This window comes from Homo sapiens, chromosome X, assembly GCF_000001405.40.
Source record: "Homo sapiens chromosome X, GRCh38.p14 Primary Assembly".
NCBI classification, from domain to species: domain Eukaryota; kingdom Metazoa; phylum Chordata; class Mammalia; order Primates; family Hominidae; genus Homo; species Homo sapiens.
This window is the reverse complement of record NC_000023.11, coordinates 32,334,614-32,359,915: the sequence shown is the minus strand read 5'-3', so window position 1 is coordinate 32,359,915 and position 25,302 is coordinate 32,334,614. Positions and strand designations below refer to the sequence as shown.

At 32.4% G+C, this 25,302-nt stretch overlaps 1 protein-coding gene across 19 annotated transcripts in view; it reads left to right on the top strand.

Moving 5' to 3' along the window:
• DMD (dystrophin) overlaps positions 1-25,302 on the top strand; it is a 2,220,167-nt gene that overhangs the window by 979,473 nt on the left and 1,215,392 nt on the right. For 15 of the 19 annotated variants that reach the window (XM_006724469.4, NM_000109.4, XM_006724474.4 and 12 more), the window contains 4 exon segments: positions 11,388-11,510; positions 13,836-13,973; positions 16,630-16,782; positions 17,634-17,816. In XM_006724469.4, coding sequence (XP_006724532.1) covers positions 11,388-11,510; positions 13,836-13,973; positions 16,630-16,782; positions 17,634-17,816 — 597 coding nt within the window. 19 annotated transcript variants of the gene reach the window in all.

Below are 25,302 nucleotides of genomic sequence, written 5' to 3'. Positions count from 1 at the left end.
ATTTAAAATAAAGTATTAAATTTAAATATTTAATATTAAAATCATATTATTTAAAATTAAATTAATAAATTGGAAAATAATAGAGTTACTAGATGGGGGAAATATCTGCCATTTTATCTTTCTCCTTCCTATGATTGAATTCAGGAAGTATAAATTATGCTCATAGAACATGGTTTGAAATTTCTAAATTAGATTAGTTCATAAATCCCTGCTCGTTCTAAAATTTGGCTATTCAGTAATCTTTTGTTGATTACAATAAGAAATTGAAAACATTTAATGTCTTGTGTGTGTTTGCTCTGGAGTAGGGAAGTGCTGAAGTGCTGGAGGTTTTAGGGGGTAGCCTTTGATCTCAAAATCAGGTTTCTTTATAGTAGGGGTTATACAGGATAATATTAGGTTAGAATATGGCTTTTCTATGGTTGAGTCTATGTCTAAGTTTCATGGAAGAGTAACCTGGGGAAAAAAAATACTATGGTGATAAAAAAAGTAGATTTGGATTGAACACGGGTAGGTCATAGACTCTTTGTAATCAGTAATTTCAGTATAGCCTTTAGAACATAACTCTAAAGAGCCCTTGAATAGAGAAATAACTTATGCTGAAAATTCACTGGTGTCTAGATTTACTATTTGGTGAAGAATACAAAGTGGGGTACTCCCATGTCTCCTGCCAGGACTGTTCATGACAAGAAATTCCGAAGCCCAGAAAGCAGTGAGTAAAGGGATCCTCAGTTCAGATTGGCTGAGGACTTGACTGTCCAAGTGCAGCTCTCTGTAATGTTAATTTTGGCCTCAGCAAGGAGCAGTATGGTGAGAGCAAAAAGTCCTTAACTTCAAGACACAAGACCTGCTTTGAGCACTAGCTGAGCACATTACTACTTAGTGATTTTGGATATGCCTCTTTACCTCTCAGAGCCTCATTTCTAGCTACAAAATAAGGGAGATGATGCCTGTTTTATTTTAATCTAAAGATTGTAATGAGGATCAAATTATGTAATATATGTAAAAACATGCATTTAAAATGTATTAATCAGTGTATAGATATGAAATGGTTAAAAATAATTAATATCAATGGGTATTTCCATCGTTACGTATATTACACTTGAATGGCCGAATCTGGGGGGTTGAGACAAAAACTGATGGAAAAAAATGAAAGAATTGCTGATTTTCTGTGGTCTCTGCTGTAATCGACTGGAGTCAGAAAATCGTGTCTTTGCTATTTTCATGACAAAGACCAGCCTTAAAGATAATGAAGTGGATGAATTTAAGAACTACTAAGGAGTTATGTTTGTCCCACATACGCCCCTTAAAATACATAAAAATGCTGCCTTTTCCCATTTTATTAAGGTTACCTAAGAGTATCCAATGACTTTGAAAAAAGCGTGTTTTTTCGTAATCTATGTGAAATCAATGTGAGGAAATGGCAGTTTTAATGGAGAGGATCAGAATTGCAACAGTCAATCAGAGATAATATTAGAACCCTGAGTAAATTGACAGAATCAATGAGGAGAGACTCCTTGTCTCAACTGTCTCTGTTTTAGGGCATCGGAGTATAGTGGCATGGCTGAGGGCAAGTGGATACCATCGGGAAAATAAGGTGATAGGAGACAAAAGTATAGGAAGGGGCATGGGAAGACAAAAATAAACTGATTATTTATTCATATTAATTATGACAGTTCTACCCCTCTCCATCCCTCTAGAAGCCAAGTTGGAGAAGGGGAGTCAGCAATTTGGGAGAGATGCTAGTTGAGGTATATCTAAAAGCACTAATGAGTGAAGACTTGAGAAAAGGGATTAATCAGGATGAATTCTCACCAACCATATATTATTTTCCGATAACAGTGTTTGGTAGTGAGGGGGATCTATTGCTAGGTAAAATACGATGGATTCAAGGAGCTTACTGTTTGATGATAGGGCAAGATGTGTTCATGGATACTAGATTGAGAGTGAGTGCATGGTAAGTGAGTTTAGCAGTCACTCCAGCAACACAGAGGAGGTAACAATTCGGCATAAACATATGAGAAAGCTTAGGAGCATACAGTGTGTTCAATGAAGAGTGAGTTCCTTTAGTTTTCAGAGTAGAGGGCATGGAAGATAAAACTTAGTTGTGGATGATAAGGCTGAAGATTATGGCTAGACACAGTGTGAAGAGGTCATGGACAGCCAGACTAATCATTCATGCTTAATTCAGTATGCAATGAAGAGTTCTTGATGTGCTCTGTGTGTGTGTGTGTGTGTGTGTGTGTGTGTGTGTGTGTATCTGTGTATGCACTGTTGAGAAATTAGTCCAGTGATAGTTGTGAGGAGAATTCCACTGAATAATGACATGAAGTTCGGGAGCTATTGCAGTAGTCTAGATGAGATACACTGATGACCTCAAAAAAAGGGATAGCTATGGGAGTGGAAAGGAAATTTCAGTCTAGATCAGTAAATCTTTTGTATGCACTTGGGTGAATTGTTAAAACCAGTGTGCTGGGCCCCACACTCAGAGCTTCTGACTCACTAGGTCTGGAGTGGAGCACAAGAGTTTGCATTTCTAACATTTTTCTAGGTCAGATTGATGCTGAAGGTCTAGGGACCACGCTTAGAGAACTGCTGCTGCGGAGATATTTAGAGGTAGCCTAGAGTTAAGTCATTACATACAAGGACCCAAGAAGATGATGAATTCAAAAATGACTCCAAATTTAACTCTGATTGACTAGGAAAGTCTGCATATAAATTCCAATAATAGGCCTGGTGCGGTGGCTCACGCCTGTAATCCCAACACTTTGGGAGGCCGCTGCAGGCAGATCACCTGACGTCAGGAGTTGAAGATCAACCTGGCCAACATGGCAAATCCCCTTCTCTACTAAAAATACAAAAATTAGCTGGGCATGGTGGTGGGCGCCTGTAATCCCAGCTACTTGGGAGGCTGAGGAGGGAAATTGTTTGAACCCGGGAGGCGGAGGTTGCAGTGAGCCGAGATCGCACCACTGCACCCCAGCCTGGGCGACAGAGTGAGATTCCATCTCAAAAATAAAAATTAAAAAAAATTTCAATAATAAAATATGCATCAAGTTATATTTTTATTGTTGTAATACTTAGCTGCAAAATAATTTTGACTAAACAAACTTTAGGTGTGTCATATTAATAAAGGCAATTATTTTACTTTTTACAAAATATTATGTAATTTCTACATAAAATTTGCTTAGATTGTATTTTTCTAGAGATTTAGATATACTTCACTGTTCTAAGGAGCTGAAATGTTAAATTATTTATTCTGAAATTGATACTAACCAGAAAAAAGTGAAATTATTTTCTCTGACTTTGATCCTTTACTAAGACTTATTTGCTATAGGATATATCTGGCATATGTTCTTTAATTTCCATATAGGCCTTGAAAATTGCTGCTAAAATTCATGTAGCAGTTTCTATATATATGTATTACAACTGTAATATGAGATTTGGACAATCGGGCATCAAATACTTAAATATTCATTGTTTGATTGCTGCAATAATTGTAAATTACCAAGTTTTTTTTTTTTTTTTTTTTTTTTTTTACTTCCATTCAGTGTCAGAAGATATAAAAGTAATCATTCTTTGGATAAGAGACTTTCACAAGTTTATAGGAGGCTGTGAGAGAGTCAGTGACCTTCCCATGTAATGTAGAATATATAAGAAAAAGAAACACATGATTGGGCCTAATCTATCTTAAAATATGGTTCTATGTGTGGAAAATAATTAAGCAGTGATTTAATTATTTTGGCTCTCCTAAACTTCGGTGGGAAATAAATGATGCATTTTATAAATGTGATCTAGAAGGTCCAATGAAGATGTATTGGATTGAAAATTTTTAATTAAAGCTTAATTTTCTGTAGTCAGATTTATCAATGCAAATACATTGATATTTTGCAGTCTCTTTCTGATCGTATTATAACTTAACACCTATGATGGAAAATAATATTGTATCTTAATTGGAACAGTATTCTTGCTATATATATTCTTTAAATTTTAATTTTTTTAATTTTTGTAGGTACATTGTAGGTATATAGATATTCATTTTTAGTAAAATTTTCTATAAAAACATGAAAACTGAGATGAAGACTTGTAAATATTGCATAATTTGTAGAGCATTAAATATGTAATATTTACAACTAATATCTTCAGGTAATAGTAACAGATCACTAGTCAAACTGTATAATATCTGCAAATTTTATTTTACTAAAATGAATCAGAAAAATATGAACCTAACAACATAATTCTTATGTTAGCTTATTTTTTCCACATGTGTAATTGGTTATCCCTATAACAAGGTTAAGTCCATTGAAACTTCGCTAATAAATCCCTTTGGTAACCATGTAAAATATTTTTAAAGTAGATGTGTAATTGAGTTTGGTGAGCAGTGTCATTTGATAAAACTATCTGGGTCTTGTTAGCATAACATTTGAAATAATTAAAGCTATTTGGTGAATCTTGATTGTTCTCCTTTGATAAAGGAAAATTAGTCCCCTGATCAGTGTCAGTAGATGTAAAGCAATTTTGCTTTGGACCAGAGACTTTCAGATATTTATAGGAGGTTGTGAGAGTGTCAGTGAGTTGACCAAGTTCTCACAGTTAGACAGTGTGGTTAGCAAATACTAGATCTCAGTCCATTGCTTTGTCCACTTCAATACACTGACTCAGCATAGTTTACTGCCTCTATTTATGTCATAAAGTAGTTTTTGTTGGTCTACTATGTGTTAGTATAAACATACCCAATTTCACTTCAAATACAGTGATTTCGTTATACTTTTTGTATTAAAAATGACAAGAACAAAAGGTGGTAGGGAGGAAGAAATGGAAGAAGGAAGGGGGAATGGAAGAAATAAAACTGGAAAACAACCTAAGTAAATGAAAAGAAAGTTTAAAATACAAAATTGCTTAAAGTGTTATGTTTTTACTTTTGTCTGTCTCCCCCATACATTTTAGAGTTAAATGTTTTCCTCTTTTAATTCATTTCCTACTCCAAAAAGTCATGTAATCATGAAATAGGGCAATATTCTAAGTTAAACTTTATAAAAGGTCGACAGTAGGAAGCAGATTCTTGACCCACGAATATATTTTGCATCCAGTTTTAAAATGTGTAAGCATGAAATTAACCTCATCCATACAAAATCAATTGAAATCTACTGGGTAATATCCTCTAATTAGCCTCACAAATTAGTCACATTTTCACATTTTTATTATCAAAGCATTAAAGGTAAACCAGTACTTTATCTATTCTCAAAAGAATGCAACCAATGAAATGTCACTATTTGGAGTCAATTTATTTAATTTAAAAATAATATTTCTTACATTTTCTTGTTTGCTCTAATAATTTTAAAATAATAGAATAAATAAGTTTATAAACCATATTTTAAATAATCTTTCTTCTAGCATAGATGTAGTATCTTTCCAATACACTTATTTGTTTTTGTAAGTTCTTTTCCTCTACAGATAGAATGATGTGAAATAACTCTTCATATCATATCAGTAGTCTGTCTTTTCTGTACTATAGTGTGTTACTTGTCCTTGAAATTTTTCATCTTGGTTTCCATGAATTCTTTATTTTTCTATATCAATATTGTAATGATAAATAAATTTTCAAAGCTGCAGAATGGAAAAAGGAGACTGATGGATTTGAAGCAATTTTAAACCAATCTGTAGCACTTGGATTATTTATTTTCAATTTAGGTTTTAGTGTGATTTGAATATAGTGGTAATTTATCATGATTATTAAGATTCCATAGTCCAGATTAACAAATGTTTACTTGCTGTCTGTGTAAACACAGTCGTTATTATGCTAGTGTATCTGTGCATGCCAAAGTAATATTTAACCAAGGAAAGCTTACATTTTAAAACTAATAAAGTGTATCTGAGTAATTTTGAATGCTTTCAATTTACAATGAATCAGTTTGTAATTGATCTTGCTTTTCTTCAGTCTGTTATCCTTTGTTAACTTGTTATAAAATTCAGCTTTAATGCCAAAACTTCAACAAAGCCTTAAATTTCATTAATCCTTAAATAATCCAACAAAGCACAATTAATAGTTGTTAAGCAATTTGAAACATTAAAAAATCAAGGAAAACAAAGTGTTGTCTTTCTCGGTTTCTCTGTCTCTTCTTTATGTGTCCATTTATCCATTTATTATACTTCCCTGTCTTCTAATTTATATGTATTTTGTATGACTGCACAGTCATGCTAAAGCTCTTAAAATGAAAAGGTAAGTAAAAAATTAAAAGTGTCCAAAACCTATGCTTGGTATACACTTTCTCATGCAATATTATAACTTTTGTTTGATTATTTTCTATATAACTAAAACCTATTTTGTGTGCACTGTCTAACATTGTGTGATTTAATTGTGATTCCAGTTCTTTTGTGGTCATCTATTTCCTTTAAAGTCAATAGAAGTAACTTACCCAATAATTAAGATGATTTATCAGCCATTGCTTTCAACTGTTTTAGACAATTTATCATAATTCTGAATTGAAAAGCAGGCATGATATACTTTGTGTTTTAAAATTTGGTGACTCAAGAATGAGCTGTTAAATTATAAACGCTTTCTTATTACATGTTTCCTTTATAAAGTTGCATAAGAATTCCAAGTTACAAAGACAGGGAAGACCAAGGAATGACATGTAGAATTTTAATTGGGTGGGAAAGTGTTTTCTGTTTTAGAATGGGCATAGCCTAATGCTGAACTAGTGAACTCTTAAGAAAAGCAATGAATTTTTTTCATCTCTTTGTGTCCAAAGACTATTAATCATATGGCTGTCAAATGGCTGGTGCTATCTTGCCAATAACATAGCTAAAACAATTGGTTTGATAAACTTATTTTGGTTATAAAATTGGTCACTGGTTGATTAAATTAATATATAGGTAGTTCTAAAACTACCGATTGATATAATAAGCACCTTTTCCTGTATAAAATAAAAGGCAGTGTTTTCACTGGAAAATAGAGTAGTATAAGACATATTGCCAACTTTAAGGATGGAAAATTTATTTAGAGAGACAAGCATATATCTTTGAAAGCCAAATAATATTATATTCCTGTCTATAAGAAAGCAGTGCAACACAAGCTGAGATACACATAAATGAGAATAGAAACTCCTGAAATAACAGGTCAATCCCACTCCCGTAATTTTTCCTATACCCCGAGGACTGCCTGAAAATTTCACTCAGAACACATAATGCAAGATAATAAGACCGACGTAAGAATAATCTAAATTCACCACAAGTTATAAACAAAACATTACTATTTTATTCAAAGTAATTATGAGATATTAGTTCTTTACAATGTTATGAGTATAATGGTTAATAGAGCTCTATACTGCCTAATAAGGTGGTCATGAACCACATGTGGCCACTGAGCTTTAGAAATTTGGCTACTCCATGTTAAGATTTATAAATAAGTGTAAAATATGTGTGGGTTTTGAAGAGAATATAAAATGTAAAATATTCATATTTTTGTATTGATTATGAGTTTATACAATAATTTGGACATCTCAGTGAAATCAGTAAAATTAATTTTATCTGTTTTTTGTTTTTTACTATGGCAACTAGAATATTTAAAATTACATATATGGCATGTATTATATTTCTATTGAGCTGCACTACTATAAAAGTTCTACTTGAATTTAGAGACAAGAACTTACTGTAAGGTTATAAAATTTTAAGAAAATGTCTGTGTGAAAAGGATTTTGTTCCTAAAATGTGACTGAATACATCCTCATCTAGTCTCTGCTTATAAACATTTAGCATTACTTGAAAATCAGTGTTTTTAAAAAAATTGCAGTCCTCATCAGTTGTTCTTATATAAACCTAAAATTTAGGCTCCAAATAATTTTTGCCCACTGATTTTAGTTAATCACTTTGAAACTACACAAAATAAAACTACTCAAATTCTTAATCTTCCTAATTTTTTTAAACAAAATGCACGGTAGTCTTTCATTGGAAAATTTAGACCCTACACATTGAACTAAAGAAGTCTAAGTTTCCATTATCTTGCCTGAATAATTAGCACTTCAGTTTTTGGTAGTCTCTCCCAAAGCTCTTTTTACATCTTCCCCCTTTTTTGTGTTTACCTGGTGGTATCATGTTGCTTAGCATTTGGGCAGCAGTTAATATACATACTCATATAATGCTAACCAGTCAGGTCTTTTGACATTTCTACATAGAAATTGTGTTATTTAAAATTCCATGTCACTAAAAAAGCTCCTTGAAATGTCTATTTTGGCCCTCAATTTTTAGTCTTTTGTTCATTTATTTTTTCAGGAAATATTTACTTATGAATATTTACTATGTACCAGAAATGACTGTAGGTTGAACATGAGAAACTCAGCTCCATAGGATGTCTAGGGAACACACCCCACTGACTGTATCTGTGGTATGCCTTTTCTGTCTCCAAATAATTCCTGATTAAAAAAAAAAAACTGCACCCTGTAAACTAAATGCAAGGCTGTGATATCACTTTTTATATTGCCGCAGATAAATTAATCTGTAGTTTTGTTCTTCAGGATTATGTAACTCTACCAAACTGGAATCTAAAATCCTCCATGTTCACCATTACAATGTTATGATTTCATCAAATCCCTTGGTAAAATAAAGACTCATTATATCAATAAGCATGTATTTTATCCTTTAAAACCATAGATTTCAAAGGAGGAAGGGCTTGACCTGAGCCAATGGATGATTAGGATTTTGAGAGGATCAAAATAAGACCCAAGATTTATAGAGCATGTATTTATATTGGATGGACACATAGAAGTTTGAGAGAAAATAATAGTCAACATTTATTAAGCTTTTATTATATACCAGACACCATTCTAACATATTTGATCTTAGTAATAGCCCTGTGAGGTAGATATTCATCTTATCTCCATGTTATAAAGAAACTGAGGTTCAATGAGGATAAATAACTTGTCTAAGTTCCCTCAGCTAGTAAATGGTAGAGCCCAGATTCAATCTATGCATTTTCATACAGAAGTTTATGTTCTTCACTAGAAGATGAAAAGTATTCTAAGGTCATTGAAGGAGGCATAACAGAAGATCACCAAATGGCCTGCAAAAAAAGGTCTATATTAGGAACACTTACATAAGGCTGGCAAGTCTTTGGGGCAAGATTAGGAGAAGCCTTGACTACTGTGCTGGAGGTTGGACTTTATTCTATTTATACTCAATAGATGCAGGAGGTTCTTCAGCAAATAAATAGCATAATGAAAGAAAGGTTTTTGAAACATAGTAAGCTGATCATTGGGCACAGGCTGGAACTGGTTTGACTGAAAGGAGATTTTACATCTTTTCAAAGCTTATTGCCTTAGTTTTGTGTAAGGACCAGGAACGATGGAGTCTCTGGGAATACAAAGCAAGTGGATCATAGCAAGTCAATTGACACTTACTTGATATTTATTAGACATTAGAGTGAGATGTTCAAAAATAGCATGACTTACGTTTTACGCCTGAATGACTGAGAGAAATGGTCTTCCATTAAGAGAACTAGGGAAGTTAGTATTGTAAGCAGTTTGCGGGAAAGATAATGTGCTCCATACTAGGAATGTGAAACTTCAGGTGAAAATTCAGCTGGCTATTGGAGAGTCTAGATGGGAATTCAAAAGTCAGATAACAGCTTAGGGTGAAGACTTGGAAGGCATAAAAAATTGTTAAATTCGTAGAAAATTGTATCTTAAATTAATAGAAGTTAAATTCATGGAGAGATGAGCTAGAGAAGAAGCAGTTGGAATAAAACAGGTAAATCTGACTGTAAATAGACCTATGTTCTTCTGACATCCAAGTACACAATAAAAGTTATTTTCAACATTATCATTATGTATTCACAAAATCACATAGAACATAGTTGCTTTCATTAAATATTAGCAAATGTGAACAACCATTTAATAACATAAAATATCACCAAATTGATAATTGTATAGTTATGATTCTAAGGGTTGTTAATCTTTTTACTTTTACCGTCATCTAAACAGTGTATGATTTTATTGTACCGTAATTGCTAATAATACAGACATTGAAACTTTAAGCATGTTTGTACCACTACCAATCTATACTGGTTCAAATAACTTATGATATTTCAAATGGCAAATGATCATTAGGATTTAAAAACTGGTACTGTAATAGGTCACTTAAAATTATCTCATAAATCTTTCAGGGGTGTGTAGAAGTACCTAGAAGATATGTGGTTATTCATGTTGCATATGAGAATCATGTCATCATGAATAGAATTTGATTATTCACTTCTTCAATAGTGACAGATTATTACCTTTAGATATTTAGTTTTTCTTCTACACTTATCCGTATTGTTCACCAGAAGTTGCCATCTAATAAAAATTCAACCTCTTCCTGGGAATGTGACTGGAGAAGGGTAGGTGGGGACCAAACTTGATGAATGTAATCGTCTTGGCAAAAGACACGGGGGTCATTCCTGAATTGGTTTTACAAAAGTAAAATGTTTTAGCTCTGAAAGAAAATCAGATTTCTGTATGTCATCTATGGGTTTTCAAGAGCTATCCCATATAAAATATGTTCTAGTGTTTTAATGGAAAGAAATACAGCATAAAGATTGAGAGAGTATCAATGTATTTTATTAACAGAATTTTAATCTAATAACTAAACCTTGCCCACTTTTTTGAATATATATTTGATTTTCCATGTCTTTTCACTTATCACTCCTTTTCAAGGGTTTTGTTTAGAAAGTCAAGAGATTTTAAAGTTTTCTTAGACTGGTCATTATCAGTTCAAAAGTAAAGAAACTGATGTTTACAAGGTTGAAAAGCATAGATTCTTTATGTGAAATATATTAGGTTCATTCGTTTGAATTTATTTGCATCACCAACCAAACTGTTCCTAAGGCAAGCTAATGGCATTGTCTTAGAAGAGCATGCCTGTCAATTGTGCTGTGCTAAAAATGTCATTTAAAACATCTGAGCAGATTGCCATGTAGTTTTTCTAAGGATAAGATGACAATTCTGCATTTCTACCTGAGGTTACTGTTACTTGATAAATGAGGCAATTTCTGATGAGACATATTTACCCAAATGTATTTATATCAGAATATTTAAAATAAGGTCAAATTTGACTTTAGAATATTAAAAATTAGCCCATTCAAATGTATCTGTAAATTGACTGTTGTTGATATCACCAAATGATGAATTGTACTATCTTGCATGTATGTTCAGCTCTGGTGATGTGAAATGTTTCTCCTTATTTGCATCCTCAGGTACTTTTCCAGTTGTATTTCAAAACCCTTCATAAAACATAATATGGAAACATAATGCATGTGATTAGTTTAGCAACAGGAGGTTGAATAAATGTATTTCTTTTGGTTTATGTTTCTAATAAAAAGTAATTTTGATTTAAAGTAGCACTATCTTTTTTTTTAGGCCTCCATTCCTTTGAAGGAATTGGAGCAGTTTAACTCAGATATACAAAAATTGCTTGAACCACTGGAGGCTGAAATTCAGCAGGGGGTGAATCTGAAAGAGGAAGACTTCAATAAAGATATGGTAAATTGGTTGTGATAAAAGTGTGAATGAACTAGGAGTGGAAATAAATATTTGGAAAGAACTTAGATAAGTCTCCAACTGAATTTTCAGAGCACATATTACACATTTTATGATTCTAATGAATTTTATAAATGCAGAATATTCTTGGCCTTTTATTACAAATGCTGAATTACTATGGTATGGTAATATAGGAGCACTTACGGTTTCTAATAAATAGCCCAGCAATTTTCTTTTGACCTGACCTACTTTTGAACTTATCAAGGGCAAAATGTAATTGGAAAAAAGAGTCGAATCATAAAATAAACTAAAAATTTAATAAAATACTCAACTATCATAGATGACTGACATTTTGTATCAGCAATGTTTTTGGTAGTATAACATTTATTTCAATGAAGAGAGAATAATGCATAATATGAACATTATTTATTACAATTTCCCACAAAGTTGTTTTACCAAATAGTTGTTTAGTTAGTACATTATATGTCTAAAATGTGTATAAATTCATGCTGCTTATTTCATGGGAGTAAAGAAATATGACCATGTGTGCTCTTCCCAACCTCAGAATATTCTCCTTCAATCCCAACTAATTTCAAAGTATCTACTACATTTCTCTCTGGCTTGAATATTTGTACATCACATCCTTATTAACTGACTTTTTTTTTCTCTCTTCATCCTCCTTTTCACAATTTTTTCCCCTCTTTCACTGCCATCACCTCTGTGGCATTCTTAACCTTTACAATTACCAGTGCTAGAGCCTTCTCAGACAATGCTTGAAAGTGACATCAGAAGACAATATATAAATTTTAGGTAATAAGTGTGTGAAGCAATAGGAGAACTATTCCCACCAATCTTAGTTCCCACTTCCTGGAGCTGCCTCAATCAATACTCCCCATGTATGGGGTTTGGTGGCCTTGCCAACTCAGCTTGTGGAAAGACGGAAGAGGCTTTCCAAGTTGCTGAGTTACAGCAATCTCTACTTCAGGTCAAAGAAGAAACTAGAGGGCACCAAGATGAAAAAAAGTACTGATTACCTCTTGGGCTGACCCCAACTCTGCCCTAGAGCCCTCAACTGGTATAGGGAAAGAAGTGAAGTGGGTTTTTTAATTTTTTGTTGTTTTTGTCCTCAGCCCTAGAAAATGCTACAGACTTTTACAACACCTTTTAAAATAAGTAAAGTCTTTTACAGACTATAAGTATATGATGTGTCTATATTATGATAAGTATATAATGTGTCTATATTATGCCGTATGTTTCTTTAGATTATTGACCAGTCTCTGACAAAAATAATCCCTTTCCCCCATACAAAATGAATCAGTCCTCAGTTGCGTGTTGAAGTTTATGCATTATAGATTTAAATATATAACATCTAATTCCTTGAATTGTAATACACACATACAAATACTTGTGACTTTTGAAATTTATTATTTGTTTTCCTTATGTCATCAGTGTACCTTGAGTACCATTACAATGTGAGACTACTTGATACAAAGTTTTCACATTCTGAGTTGAAAGAAAGAAAACTAAAGGTGAAAAATCACATGGTCATATATGCGACTATATTAGACCAGCATTTATTCAAAACATTTTATTTCTAAGTAAAGAAAATTAAGATATTGTTCTTGCAGCCTAAAGGAACAAAATACCCATTGAAAATGTTTAAAGCCATTTTCCAGTCCATATTTTAGTATTATTTGATCGTATTTAAATTAACATGCATATATGACATATTTTAGAAATTATTTGATGGTAACTTAGCACATGATTTTTATTAATATCCTGATATTTCTCCTATTAATATTGAGCATTTAGGTTTCAGAAATGAAGCAGGAGTTATTAGATAGGAATTAGTGTACATTTAAATCAAAATATTTTCATGTAGTTGTGTGTTAATATTTTCAGATTTGCTGTTATCTCAGTCACAAATACACATCTGTATTCCTTTATGGATCAGTTAACATTATAAATGATAACTTTAGCTCATTTCTCTAATGTTTTAATTTCTAGAACTACACTAAAAAAGCCAAAAGAATACTTTCACAGTAATTCATGACTTGTCTGACATGATGAAGTACCACACTCCCCCATCTTTCTACAGGTGCCCCTAAAAATGTGTTCTTTACAACTAGATGGGAGGAAACTTATTTTGAAACCTCAAGTACCAAATGTAAAAGAAAGGCTATGAGCACAGTATCTTATAATAGCATTCCATGAAAGTTTTAAATTGGATTTTTGTGTGTGTTTAAATAACATGTCTTATTATCTCTGTTAACAATGTACAGCTTTTTAAAAACCAAAATGAAGACTGTACTTGTTGTTTTTGATCAGAATGAAGACAATGAGGGTACTGTAAAAGAATTGTTGCAAAGAGGAGACAACTTACAACAAAGAATCACAGATGAGAGAAAGCGAGAGGAAATAAAGATAAAACAGCAGCTGTTACAGACAAAACATAATGCTCTCAAGGTATTAGAGCTAAAATTATAATATACCTTGCCTGTGGTTTTTTTTTAATATATAGGGTAAAATATAATGTGCATTAATAAAATCTGCTTCAGACTTAGTCATCAGAAACTCACTTTTTCTGTTCAATGTGTATGCTTTATTTAACATTTTTGAGTGGTATTTGATTTTGAACGATGTGTTGCTTAAAAGTTATGGCTTTTTAAAGACATATTTTTCTAAGTAGTAATTGAAAGATGGGAATGCATTCATAGTACTTATACATTTAATTTTCTAATGTGCTTTATTTTTATCAGCTACTTTATATTGAAAAAAACCTGCCTAACTGCCAGAATAACCGATCTACATGTATCCATTATTCCTGCTTTCTTTACTTAATTGATTTTGCTTGCATTAGGTCCAATTTTTTGGTAACCTGATACTTGTTTAATAAGCCCTAGATTCTTTTATTTATTTTTAAAACTTTATTATGCCTTTAAGAAAGTCACTCTTTGCAACTATCTACAAAGTCAAATTTCATTTATGTAGGAATCCTAAAAAATAATCTTAGTGCCCTTGAATAAGAACTGCTACTTTCATATTAAGCAGTGTAGTGTATGGCTTCAAGTCCCCAGGTGACTCATCTGGTTTGTGCAGGAAGAGCAGGATAAACTTAATTTTTCTATAATAATATCTAGGAAGTTCTTGAGACTAGACATGTGGAAAGTTTTGTGAAACTTTTTTTTTGTATATGCTTTGCAATAATCACTATTTGCATGCATGGCTGATTTTCTAATACTTTTAATTGCTGAGCTTTTCCTTGTAAATCACTCTTTTGAGCTATGTAGTTATGAAGGTGGATCCACCTAGCAGGTAGATGGAGTCTGCTTTCTACATGCAAATAAGAGAATAAAACCTTTCCCCCTATAGTCAACCAAATAAACACTGCTGAGAATGTAATTACACAATATTGTGCCTGCAAGGAATCCACAAGGAAAGTCTAATTGGCCAGCAGGTGTTCTGAAGGTAACTGCTGATAAATATAGTAAACAGAAAAGGCCTCTTCCTCGAGGGAGTGCAAAAGCACACCATAATGTGTCTAGAAAATCGGAACGCTATGTAACTCACACCCTTCCAACTGTGAGCAAGCTTTCAGAAGTATCTACACTGGTCGTATGATGGTGTGTGTCCTACTGAATAGCAGTGTTTAATGGTCATCTGGCATTCCTCTAAAGAAATCTACATGACATCTCTAAATATTTTACATATTATACATCACTTTGTGCTTAGGAAATGAAAGATGTTTCAGATTGATGACCACCAAGCCCTTTCTCCTGGCAAAGATGTGAGTTATGTCACAAATAAGGCATGGCTCAACTCTAATTCACGTGGCTGTATCTTGCTACCTTTGAAAAAAGCAGCGTTCGATCTGACTCCTCAGAAGGTTTGAAAATTCAACATAAAACATAAAGTACAGCAAGGTTTAAATTCCCAATTTTAAACAAACTAGATAATGAAATGTAGTTCATTCTTGCAAATACAGGCTATAAGTGATTAATCAAAATCGTCAACACTACTCGCCAAACCAATCTATACCAACATATTCAATAACTTTTTAAACCTGTCAAATAGTTCCAATTCTGGTCCTTATGAAATATTTTAGAGAAGGTCAAAATTTTCCAATGGAATGAAATTTTTAGAAATTCCCTGATATTTATTATTTTTTCGCTCGAATTAAACCTGTGAATAAAACCCTAATTGCTACTTTCTGTAGAAATGAAAGCTGCATGCAGAGCTTATGTTCCCATGAATTATAAAATGGCATTTTGAGTAATTCTATTAATCACAGAAGATATTGAGTGTGCTTGTAAAGAGCATGATGACTGATTTCCTCCCATTGTTGATTTATTAAATTAGTCTTATCACATTGATTTGAAAGCATGCACTTGCTGTTTTCTTTTTTCAAATAGTTAATTGTTTTGCATTTAGAGCATGATTTGGTATAGTAAGATAAATGTGGCTATGCAAGCCTTGGAAGGAGAAGCATTTATCTCACATAATTTTTTATTAGTTATGTTCACCAATATACGAACAGTGGTGACACTTCTACACATACAGCTTGGAACAGTTTATAAGACAACTAAAATGGCTTTATATTTCTAATCATAAAATATTAATGGCCTATGAAACTCTTATGTAGGCATTTCTAAAAACATGAATGTATATTGGTTGAGTACATAAAGTTTTGTTGATGAGCCCCAAGGCTAAAGATATACATTTTAGAATTTTACCTATTTTAAGTCAGATACAAACTCACTAGGTTTGTGAGTTTGTATCTAGTTAAGTCAATTGTATTCGTATATTAAACTCTTGCACATAAACTACACAACAGTTAGCTCATTAAGAGTCAATTGAATGTGACAAAATTTTTAAGCAAGTTTGAACATGCTAAGAGAAAATACTTTAAGTGTGTTATTCAGGTTTCTTAGCTTCCTATACATGGGTCCCGCCTCATGCATAGGCAATTTAATTATGTCTTTGTATATTTTGCATTTAAATATGATTTTAACCTAAGTTGTACAAAAAGATGAGGGACGCAAATTATTTTGATAAATAACTGCAGCCAGAAGTGCACTATACATATATATTGATATTTTAATAATGTCTGCACCATGAACAGGATTTGAGGTCTCAAAGAAGAAAAAAGGCTCTAGAAATTTCTCATCAGTGGTATCAGTACAAGAGGCAGGCTGATGATCTCCTGAAATGCTTGGATGACATTGAAAAAAAATTAGCCAGCCTACCTGAGCCCAGAGATGAAAGGAAAATAAAGGTAATGTTGTTTTAGAATGTCAATACCAGATTTTATTATACAGTTTAATTAACCTGTGAAGATCATATTTAAAATGTTGATGTTCTTGTTTCTATTAACGTTCTCTTTGATTTGATGCATTTCCTTGTATTGTGTGTTGTTTTCAGTAAATGTATTGTATTAAGTGTTATTCAATTGACGTAATGTTGAATGAATAAAATGTTTTAGACTATGTAAAGTGATTTAAGAAATGTGATGTGTTTTCTGGTAAAATTGTAATTGACTTTGTGTATCTTTGTTCCAGATGAACTAATGACTTATCGGTATATGGACGACTTCTTACTCATGTTAGCCCATTCATTTCATCAGAGCATCTTCACACATCAGTGTTCACTCTCTATAGATTTATTTGCATATTGTCTAAATATGTTTTTTTCTGTTATTATTTTACACTTTTTATTTTGCTTCATTCTCTGTTGAGTTCCTCAAACCTTTAAAAAGGAAATAAATAACTTATTCACTTACCCTCTAAATTATATTCTATGTGGACGGTCCCTAATAAATAATGAGTTATCACTCCAAATTGTTTCAAATCCCAAGACACCAGAGGAATTTAGAAGAAAGAAAATGTTAGACCAATTTCAATATTTACTTAATTAGAATATCTAAAACCAAGCATTCAAAGGATAACTGAAATAATATTTGGGTTATTGAGCGAGGATGACAGTCATGCCTTTCATATTTGTAAACTTCAAAGGATGACAATAAAGGGACAACAGCCTTTGAAATTTTGAGAGAAGTATTTGCTGCTTGCAAGTCGGTTGATGTGGTTAGCTAACTGCCCTGGGCCCTGTATTGGTTTTGCTCAATAGGAAATTGATCGGGAATTGCAGAAGAAGAAAGAGGAGCTGAATGCAGTGCGTAGGCAAGCTGAGGGCTTGTCTGAGGATGGGGCCGCAATGGCAGTGGAGCCAACTCAGATCCAGCTCAGCAAGCGCTGGCGGGAAATTGAGAGCAAATTTGCTCAGTTTCGAAGACTCAACTTTGCACAAATTGTGAGTTGTTACTGGCAAACCCACGTATGTGTTTGCAACTACTACTCTATTAACAGAGGCCTACTAATAAAAAAAAAAGAGACAAAAAATCTGGGTACAGTTTTAAACTTCTAATGTACATTCTGAAAGTGAGTGGTTTCCCTCACTTTGGGCTTCTGTAACACTAGTGCTTAATTTTGCCAATTAAAGACACAAGAAATTAACAGATAACAGGGAAAACCCCTTATCAAAAATGAAAATACATCTTAATTTTTTTTGCTACATCATTTTTCATAACATTGGCAATGTTAATTTGTCAATTTATCATACATTCACTTTACTTCAATGTCTAATCCAAAAAATATGTATTGCTTTCCTGAGATCATCCCATGCTGATTTTACTTTCTTAATGTATACATGATAAATAATAAATATTTCATGGTACATCTTATGTCAACCTGCATAAGCCATTATCTCATTGACTTGAAGAATAATAGCTTAATCCTCACACCTGGTTTAACTACTTAATGGGTTACAGTGCCCATAAAAGAACTGGATGCCTAGTAAGATGGTTGCTAATTGATTGCAGATTGAACAATATCAGATAATGTTATTACTGAAATGTTACCAGCCAAAACAAAAAGGAGTGACTGCTCTTCTTTCAAACAACTGAATGGAAAGTGTATGGTTCTCTCTTTAAAAAGGCGATTCAGAATTGTTAGCTTGGTCTCACTTCTTTATTTGTAGTAGGTATAAACCATAGAGGTTTTCTGACAGGTACATTTTTGTTCCTATTATTAACACTTGTAAGATGAAGAGGAATGATCATCATCTGTAATTATAGAAGAAAGTACTCCTCACAAAACCAGGATGTCAAAATCTGGAAACTAAGTCTTTATAGTTAAGTTAGGTTGAATTATATGAATCAAACAGATACTCAACCATTTTGCCCTATGTAAATAATAACTGCATAGGGTTCAGCCCATGTATGAGACTTCTTGGGAACTTCTTCTGTGATAGTGTCAGTTCCATTTAATTTGGTGTATATTTTTAAAATGTCAAAAGCAGTTACCATAACTTAATTTTATAAGCATATAAGGGAAGTATGTTGCATATTATTGTGACTTCTTTTAATACTTCAAGAAAATTAATAAATACACTGTTTTCTGTTAAATCTAATACCCTAAAGTTTAATAGCAGGTGAATTATTCTGAGCAATTGGAAGAATACGAGAAATAGCGAAACTGTATTGCATGTGAAGTCTAATTCCACCTGGCTGAATGTTTCAGCCTATTATCCTTCATATTAGATGTTATGAATGTAATGTGTCATAAATAACCTTACACTAACCAGCAAGCCTGTGTCTGCAGATGCAAAATGAAGCGAAAGATTAAGGCAATCAAAAAGAAAATTCTAATAAAATAGTTTCACCTCAATTTAATAGATCATTCAAGGGGGAGTCCTTTGCTTTGAATTATCTGACTACTAACTCATTTCTCCATTCCAATTTTCCCCAGGTCTTGACACACCCAATATGCAGGTTTAAAATTCGTTACAAACTAATCAAGTTGCTAATGCTTTATGGCTAAATAGGCACAGGATCAAAAATCTCCATAAACCACTTACTTAAAATGCCATTATGTCCCTATTCATAGTAGGCTCTCAACAAATATTTGTACAACGTAATAATGACTGGTGAAATAAAGGAAGCATGTGTGAACCAGTATATATTTTTAAAAAATTGTAGTAAAATTCTGGGATATATTTTCCTCATAAACGATTTATTCTTAAGTTTTATATATTAAAGATCCAAAATTCAGAATGTGAAGGGGGCTATTTTTGTGTTAACTCTTAATTATCCATGATAATAAAGTAATCACAATCTGTATGAAGAATAATCAATTTAATATTGCAGTTATATTTGGCATCGTATTTTAATTAGAACTGAGGGATAATTGATAGATGATAAGTAGGTATATAGGTTGGTAGGTAGATAGATAGACAGGTGGGTGTAGAAATATTCAAGATACATCTTTATACTTGACCAATTGTCAATGCATTTTAAAACTAATTTCACTGTGGCCACTGATTAGAGTTATCTTTCCCAATTCTTACGCCCTAGAGTCATTTGTGATAGTCACAGTAACAGCTTAATGAAAAGTAGTATTTGATATAACCTTACAATGGCTCTGATGCAGCATATGCCATAGCTTCAGAATTTCTTACCTCCCCCTATATTCTCCTTCTCTAATTGTTTGATTTTTACTTTTCCTAACTGTCCCTTTTTGTTTTTCTAGATATAAACTGTAGGCTTAAAGTTCATCTTTCATGTCTTTACAGCAACATGTTGAAATAGTAAGCGGTACTCTTAAAATGCTTAGTATGTGAGAGCTGAGTGAGTTTAAAATGAAAAATTAATTTTCCTTATCTCACAGATAAAGACTCAGAGAAGTGCTAACCACTGTAAAATTAAGGCATTTAGGGGACTCTGTCCATGTCAGAGCTATATATGGTAGTAATAAAGCTCAGAAAAGGACTGAGACTTTGAGGGAACAATCATGAGGCAGCGCCCAGCCACACAGGAATGCAGACCAAAGCATAGTAGAGGGTATCTGCAAATTGTGGTCCTCAGGGCAAACCTGGAGATGATAAAGAAAGAGGCATGAGACTGGGAGGACGCAGGTAAAAATTTTACCAGATATTCAAAATGAGAGAACTCCTGCCTTAATTAGGAATTCCAATCATTTCTAATATATTTCCTGTTGGTTTAGAAACTAGGTTCCTCAGTTAAGACCAAGCACGGACTGTAAACTGAGGAAAAGGGATAGTTCTATAGGATGTACTATCACAGCAGTGTGGTCTAGTAAAATTAACTCTTGGATAAACAGCCTTGAATATGAATCCCAGTGACTTTGAGTGCTGTATGATCAGGGATAAACTGAGTCTCATTTACTTCATCTGTACAATAGAGATAAGGATGTTTCTGAGGATTAAATAAGGTAATATTTGTCAAACACCTGCTGCGTTATGCAGGCTCAATGCATGAAAGTTTTCTTCGTCTCCTTTCTGTATATATATTAACATTGGAAAATAGACATAATCTTTAATTTTTAAAATATTTTCATAAGTCATTAAGAGAATTAAGTACGCAGCATTTGTTTAAAATGTTAACAACAGATATCTCGTTCAGTGAAAATTTCAAATTTAATTCTATAATATATAAGCAGATACTTTTCTCTAGATTCACAGAATAAACACAGGAAATATCACACAAATCTGATGACTGCCAAGAAAGGGCATGATTTTCCCTAAACTGCCCCTCACATCATTGTAGCATTTGGAAAATAACCTCAGAGAGCCCAGGCATTTGCAAACACAAAATTATACAATGAAGATACCACTACAACCCCCAAGGGTCATGTGAAACTGCTAAGGAACATAAGCTTACAAACTAAAATTATGATTATTGTGGAAAAAAATTATAAGCAATGTTATCAGATGCCAAACGTTAAAAGGAGAATGTATACCTGAAGAAAATAGAGATAAGAGGATAATCACCAAAGGATATTAAGTAATTTTTAATGTTCAAAAATAAAAATTAAATGGATTTTTTTCCAGTAAGAATAGGCCATTATATAAAGTGAAAACGAAGATTTGAAAAAACAAAGTCTGGAAATGAAAATATAATTAATCCCTCAAACATCTGCGTGAAATAAGTTTCAAGTTGAAAAAAATAGGGATTATGGGGAAGAGACAATATTTCATATTAATGAAATTTAATAAAATGGAATAAATGTAAATTTTAATGAATCCTCAAATTCAATAAAGGTCAACCAACGTGGAAAAAATAAAAACAAGTCTACCAGCTAGCTCTGAATGAAACTCAGAGCATCAGTAATCAAAAAGGTATCATTAAGGGTTACTTAAGACAAAAGAACATTTACAGGATGACAATATTGACTGAAGACTTTTCATCAACAATAGATATTAGAAGACAGTTGAATAATATCTTCAAAATGCTAGGCACATTTTCAAATACCAGGTAAAACATGATTCAAGAATTAAGGCAAAATATTCTCAGACATACAGCTAGTTTCACCTGAACAAAAACTAAGAATTTCTTGTCTATAGATTTTTGCTAAAATAATTACTAAGCAATATATTTGTGTAAAATAAAATGAAACTAGAAGGAAGGAGACAGCGATGTAAAGCTGTATAAAATTGTTTTCTCTGTAAATAAGAACATTTATTAAAAAAGCTTATAATCCTAAAATTTGGTCAGTGCCACCAAGGAAAACACAGAATACTAGGAGAATGCAGTGTTTGACTGATCCTGTGTAAAGAGAGAGAAATCAAATAGAAGACTTATTGCATATCCTATGAATTACATATCCTTAATTCATATCCTGCATATTACATATGCTATGTAAAGGGAGATAAAAACAAGACTTATTCGAGATAATGGCAACAAATATAAGGCTTGTGCATAATGTGTTCTATGTAAATTATTACCAATTATAATGTTTCTAGATAGCAAAAAAGTGCTAAACCTCTGAAATATGTATACATACATGACCTTTCCAAGAACAGCAGCAAAAAAATACAAAAAAAAGCCCACTTCAGTGAAGAAAAAGAAATGTCCATTTTCTAAATACATTTCCACTTGAGCTGAGCATGTTATGACATCAAATACCAAGTATATGATCTTGATGTTTAACATTTTATATCCAACAGTCTCTTATCTTGGATGCCTAATGAGCATCTCAAACATACAATAGCCAAGTGAAAAATAAATGATCCACCCCCCATCTACGTTAATTGGCATCTACCAACATCTCCAGATGTTATTAAATTGCACTATTATTTACTTAAGTCAGAAACCTAGACATCCTTCATGATTCTTTTCTCTTACATTACCATGTAAATTATTTCCACTCTTGTTGGATATACCTGCAAAATGCATCAAATCACTCCTCCGTATCTGTTATGGAAGTGCTAATCTACAAGATTATTATCTCTCATCTGGATTACTTCAACAACCTCTAACCTCTTCTTCCAGTCTTTCCCCACTTACACCATATTTCTCCTGGTGAAGGCAGAGAGCTCCTTCTAAGGAGTTAATGAGATCATATCAGGCCCCTCCTGCCCATTACTCTTTAAATGAAATCCTGTGATCCGCTATATGATGTAGCCCCTTCCTATCACTTCTGTTACTCACACTTTGTCTCCCTTTTTGCTCTTCTGCTAACATAGAGGCCTAAAGGTTTCTTTTCTATACTTAAACACAACCAATTTCATTTCCATATCAGTATCTTTGAACATATTTTTCTAATGGAATATTTTTCACCTAGAATTTTGCATAGGTGCTATAACTTATTTAGATATCCTTTCATTTAGGAACAATGAATATTTAGTAGAACTTTGATGTATAATCTGGTTATGTAATGTAGTAGTTTCTGTTATAAATGTTTTATATTCCCTATACTTATGTATGCAAATTCGGAGTTTAAGACTGCTCGTTCAGAACATCAGTTTCTCTTACGGTTACTTCTAGAAGTAGGCATACTAAGGAAAGACACAGCTTCTGGAACATAAAAGTGAGGTGGTAAAAGATGAATATGAAGAGGGTTACAATATTGTATTGCAATGGATAGCTTGTCCTACAGCAGAGTAATTGTAATGGGATATTTTGACAAAATTAAAGTACACATTTCCAAAATATACATGCTCTTGGAAGGCTGATAGAAAATTAACCTTGTTTGTAGATTAAATGCTGCAATAAATGTGTTATTTAAAATAGTCCTTGGCTGGGCGTGGTGGCTCACAACTGTAATCCCAGCTCTTTGTGAGGCCGAGGTGGGCGGATCACTTGAGGAGGAGTTCCAGATCAGCCTGGCTAACATATATAACATGTCATGTATATATATGACATGCTATACATATATACACATGTTATACACACACAGATAACATGTTATACACGTATGCACATGTTACATATAACATATATAACATGTACGTATACACACGTTATATATAACATGTTATACACACGTTATATATAACGTTATATATACACGTTATATATAACGTTATATATACACGTTATATATAACGTTATATATACACGTTATATATAACATGTTATACACATATACACGTTATATATAACATACACGTATACACGTTATATATAACATACATATATACACGTTATATGTATAACATGTTATATATAACATGTTATACACATATAACGTTGAATATAACATGTTATATATGCACGTTATATATAACATGTTATACATATATACACGTGTTATATATAACATGTTATACATATATAACGTTTTATATATACATGTTATGCCTATATACACATGTTCTACGTATATACATGTTATATATACATGTTATGTATATAACATGTTATATGTTATATATACATATTATGTATATGTTATGTATATAACATGTTATGTATATGTTATGTATATAACATGTTTGTTTTATAATGTTTTATATATAACATACACATGTTATGTATATAACATGTTATATAACATATACACGTTATATATAACATGTTTTATATATAACATACACATGTTATATATATAACATGTATATATAAATGTTATAAATACATGTTATATATACATGTATATACATATATACATCCATATATAACATATATATACAAGTTATATATATATGTTATATATATGTATTATATATGTTTTATATATAAAATTAGCCAGGCTTGCTGGCAGTTGCTTGTAATCCAAGCTTCTCAGAGGCTGAGGCATGAGAATTGCTTGAAACTGGGAGACAGAGGTTACAGTCAGCAGGGATCACACCACTGCACTACAGCCTGGGCAACAGATTGAGACCCCGCCTCAAGAAAAAAAAGTAGTCCTTAATTGAATAAATTTGTAAAATAAACACCTATATATTGTGAATATTTTTCCACTAACTTTTTTAAGTTGTTTGAATCTGAATAGTATTATACATTCACAAAGAGTTTTCACATGCATCTAGTTTGATCACAGTAATGACCCTCTCAAGTATCATTTTCTTTGTCATTTTACTGTAAGAAAAATTAGCATAAATGAGGTTAAGAGATTTGTCCAAGGATACATCTGAGAAATGGAAGACGCCAAACTTGAACTCACTGCTTTCCAAAACATGGTGGGAGTTATTAATAAAAAAGGAAAAAAGTTTCAGTGTTTAAACAATTTTGGTAAACAGTAGATTAAGCAAACTTTCCTTACTCTATAACTTTCTAGTGCGTTTGATATGCTAATGGGATTATGACTTTCTATGAAGGGGTTAGATTCTATAGACTTTCACATCTAGACAGTTGCAGTAGAAAAGGGAAATTTGATTTCAGATTGATGAAAGGTTTCTTATTTGAGTGATGGTGAAATAAGAATATTCTTTAGAAAAAAATGGGAAGAACATCACCGTATCATTATTCTTCTGTTGTTTGGGATTTCCTTAAATT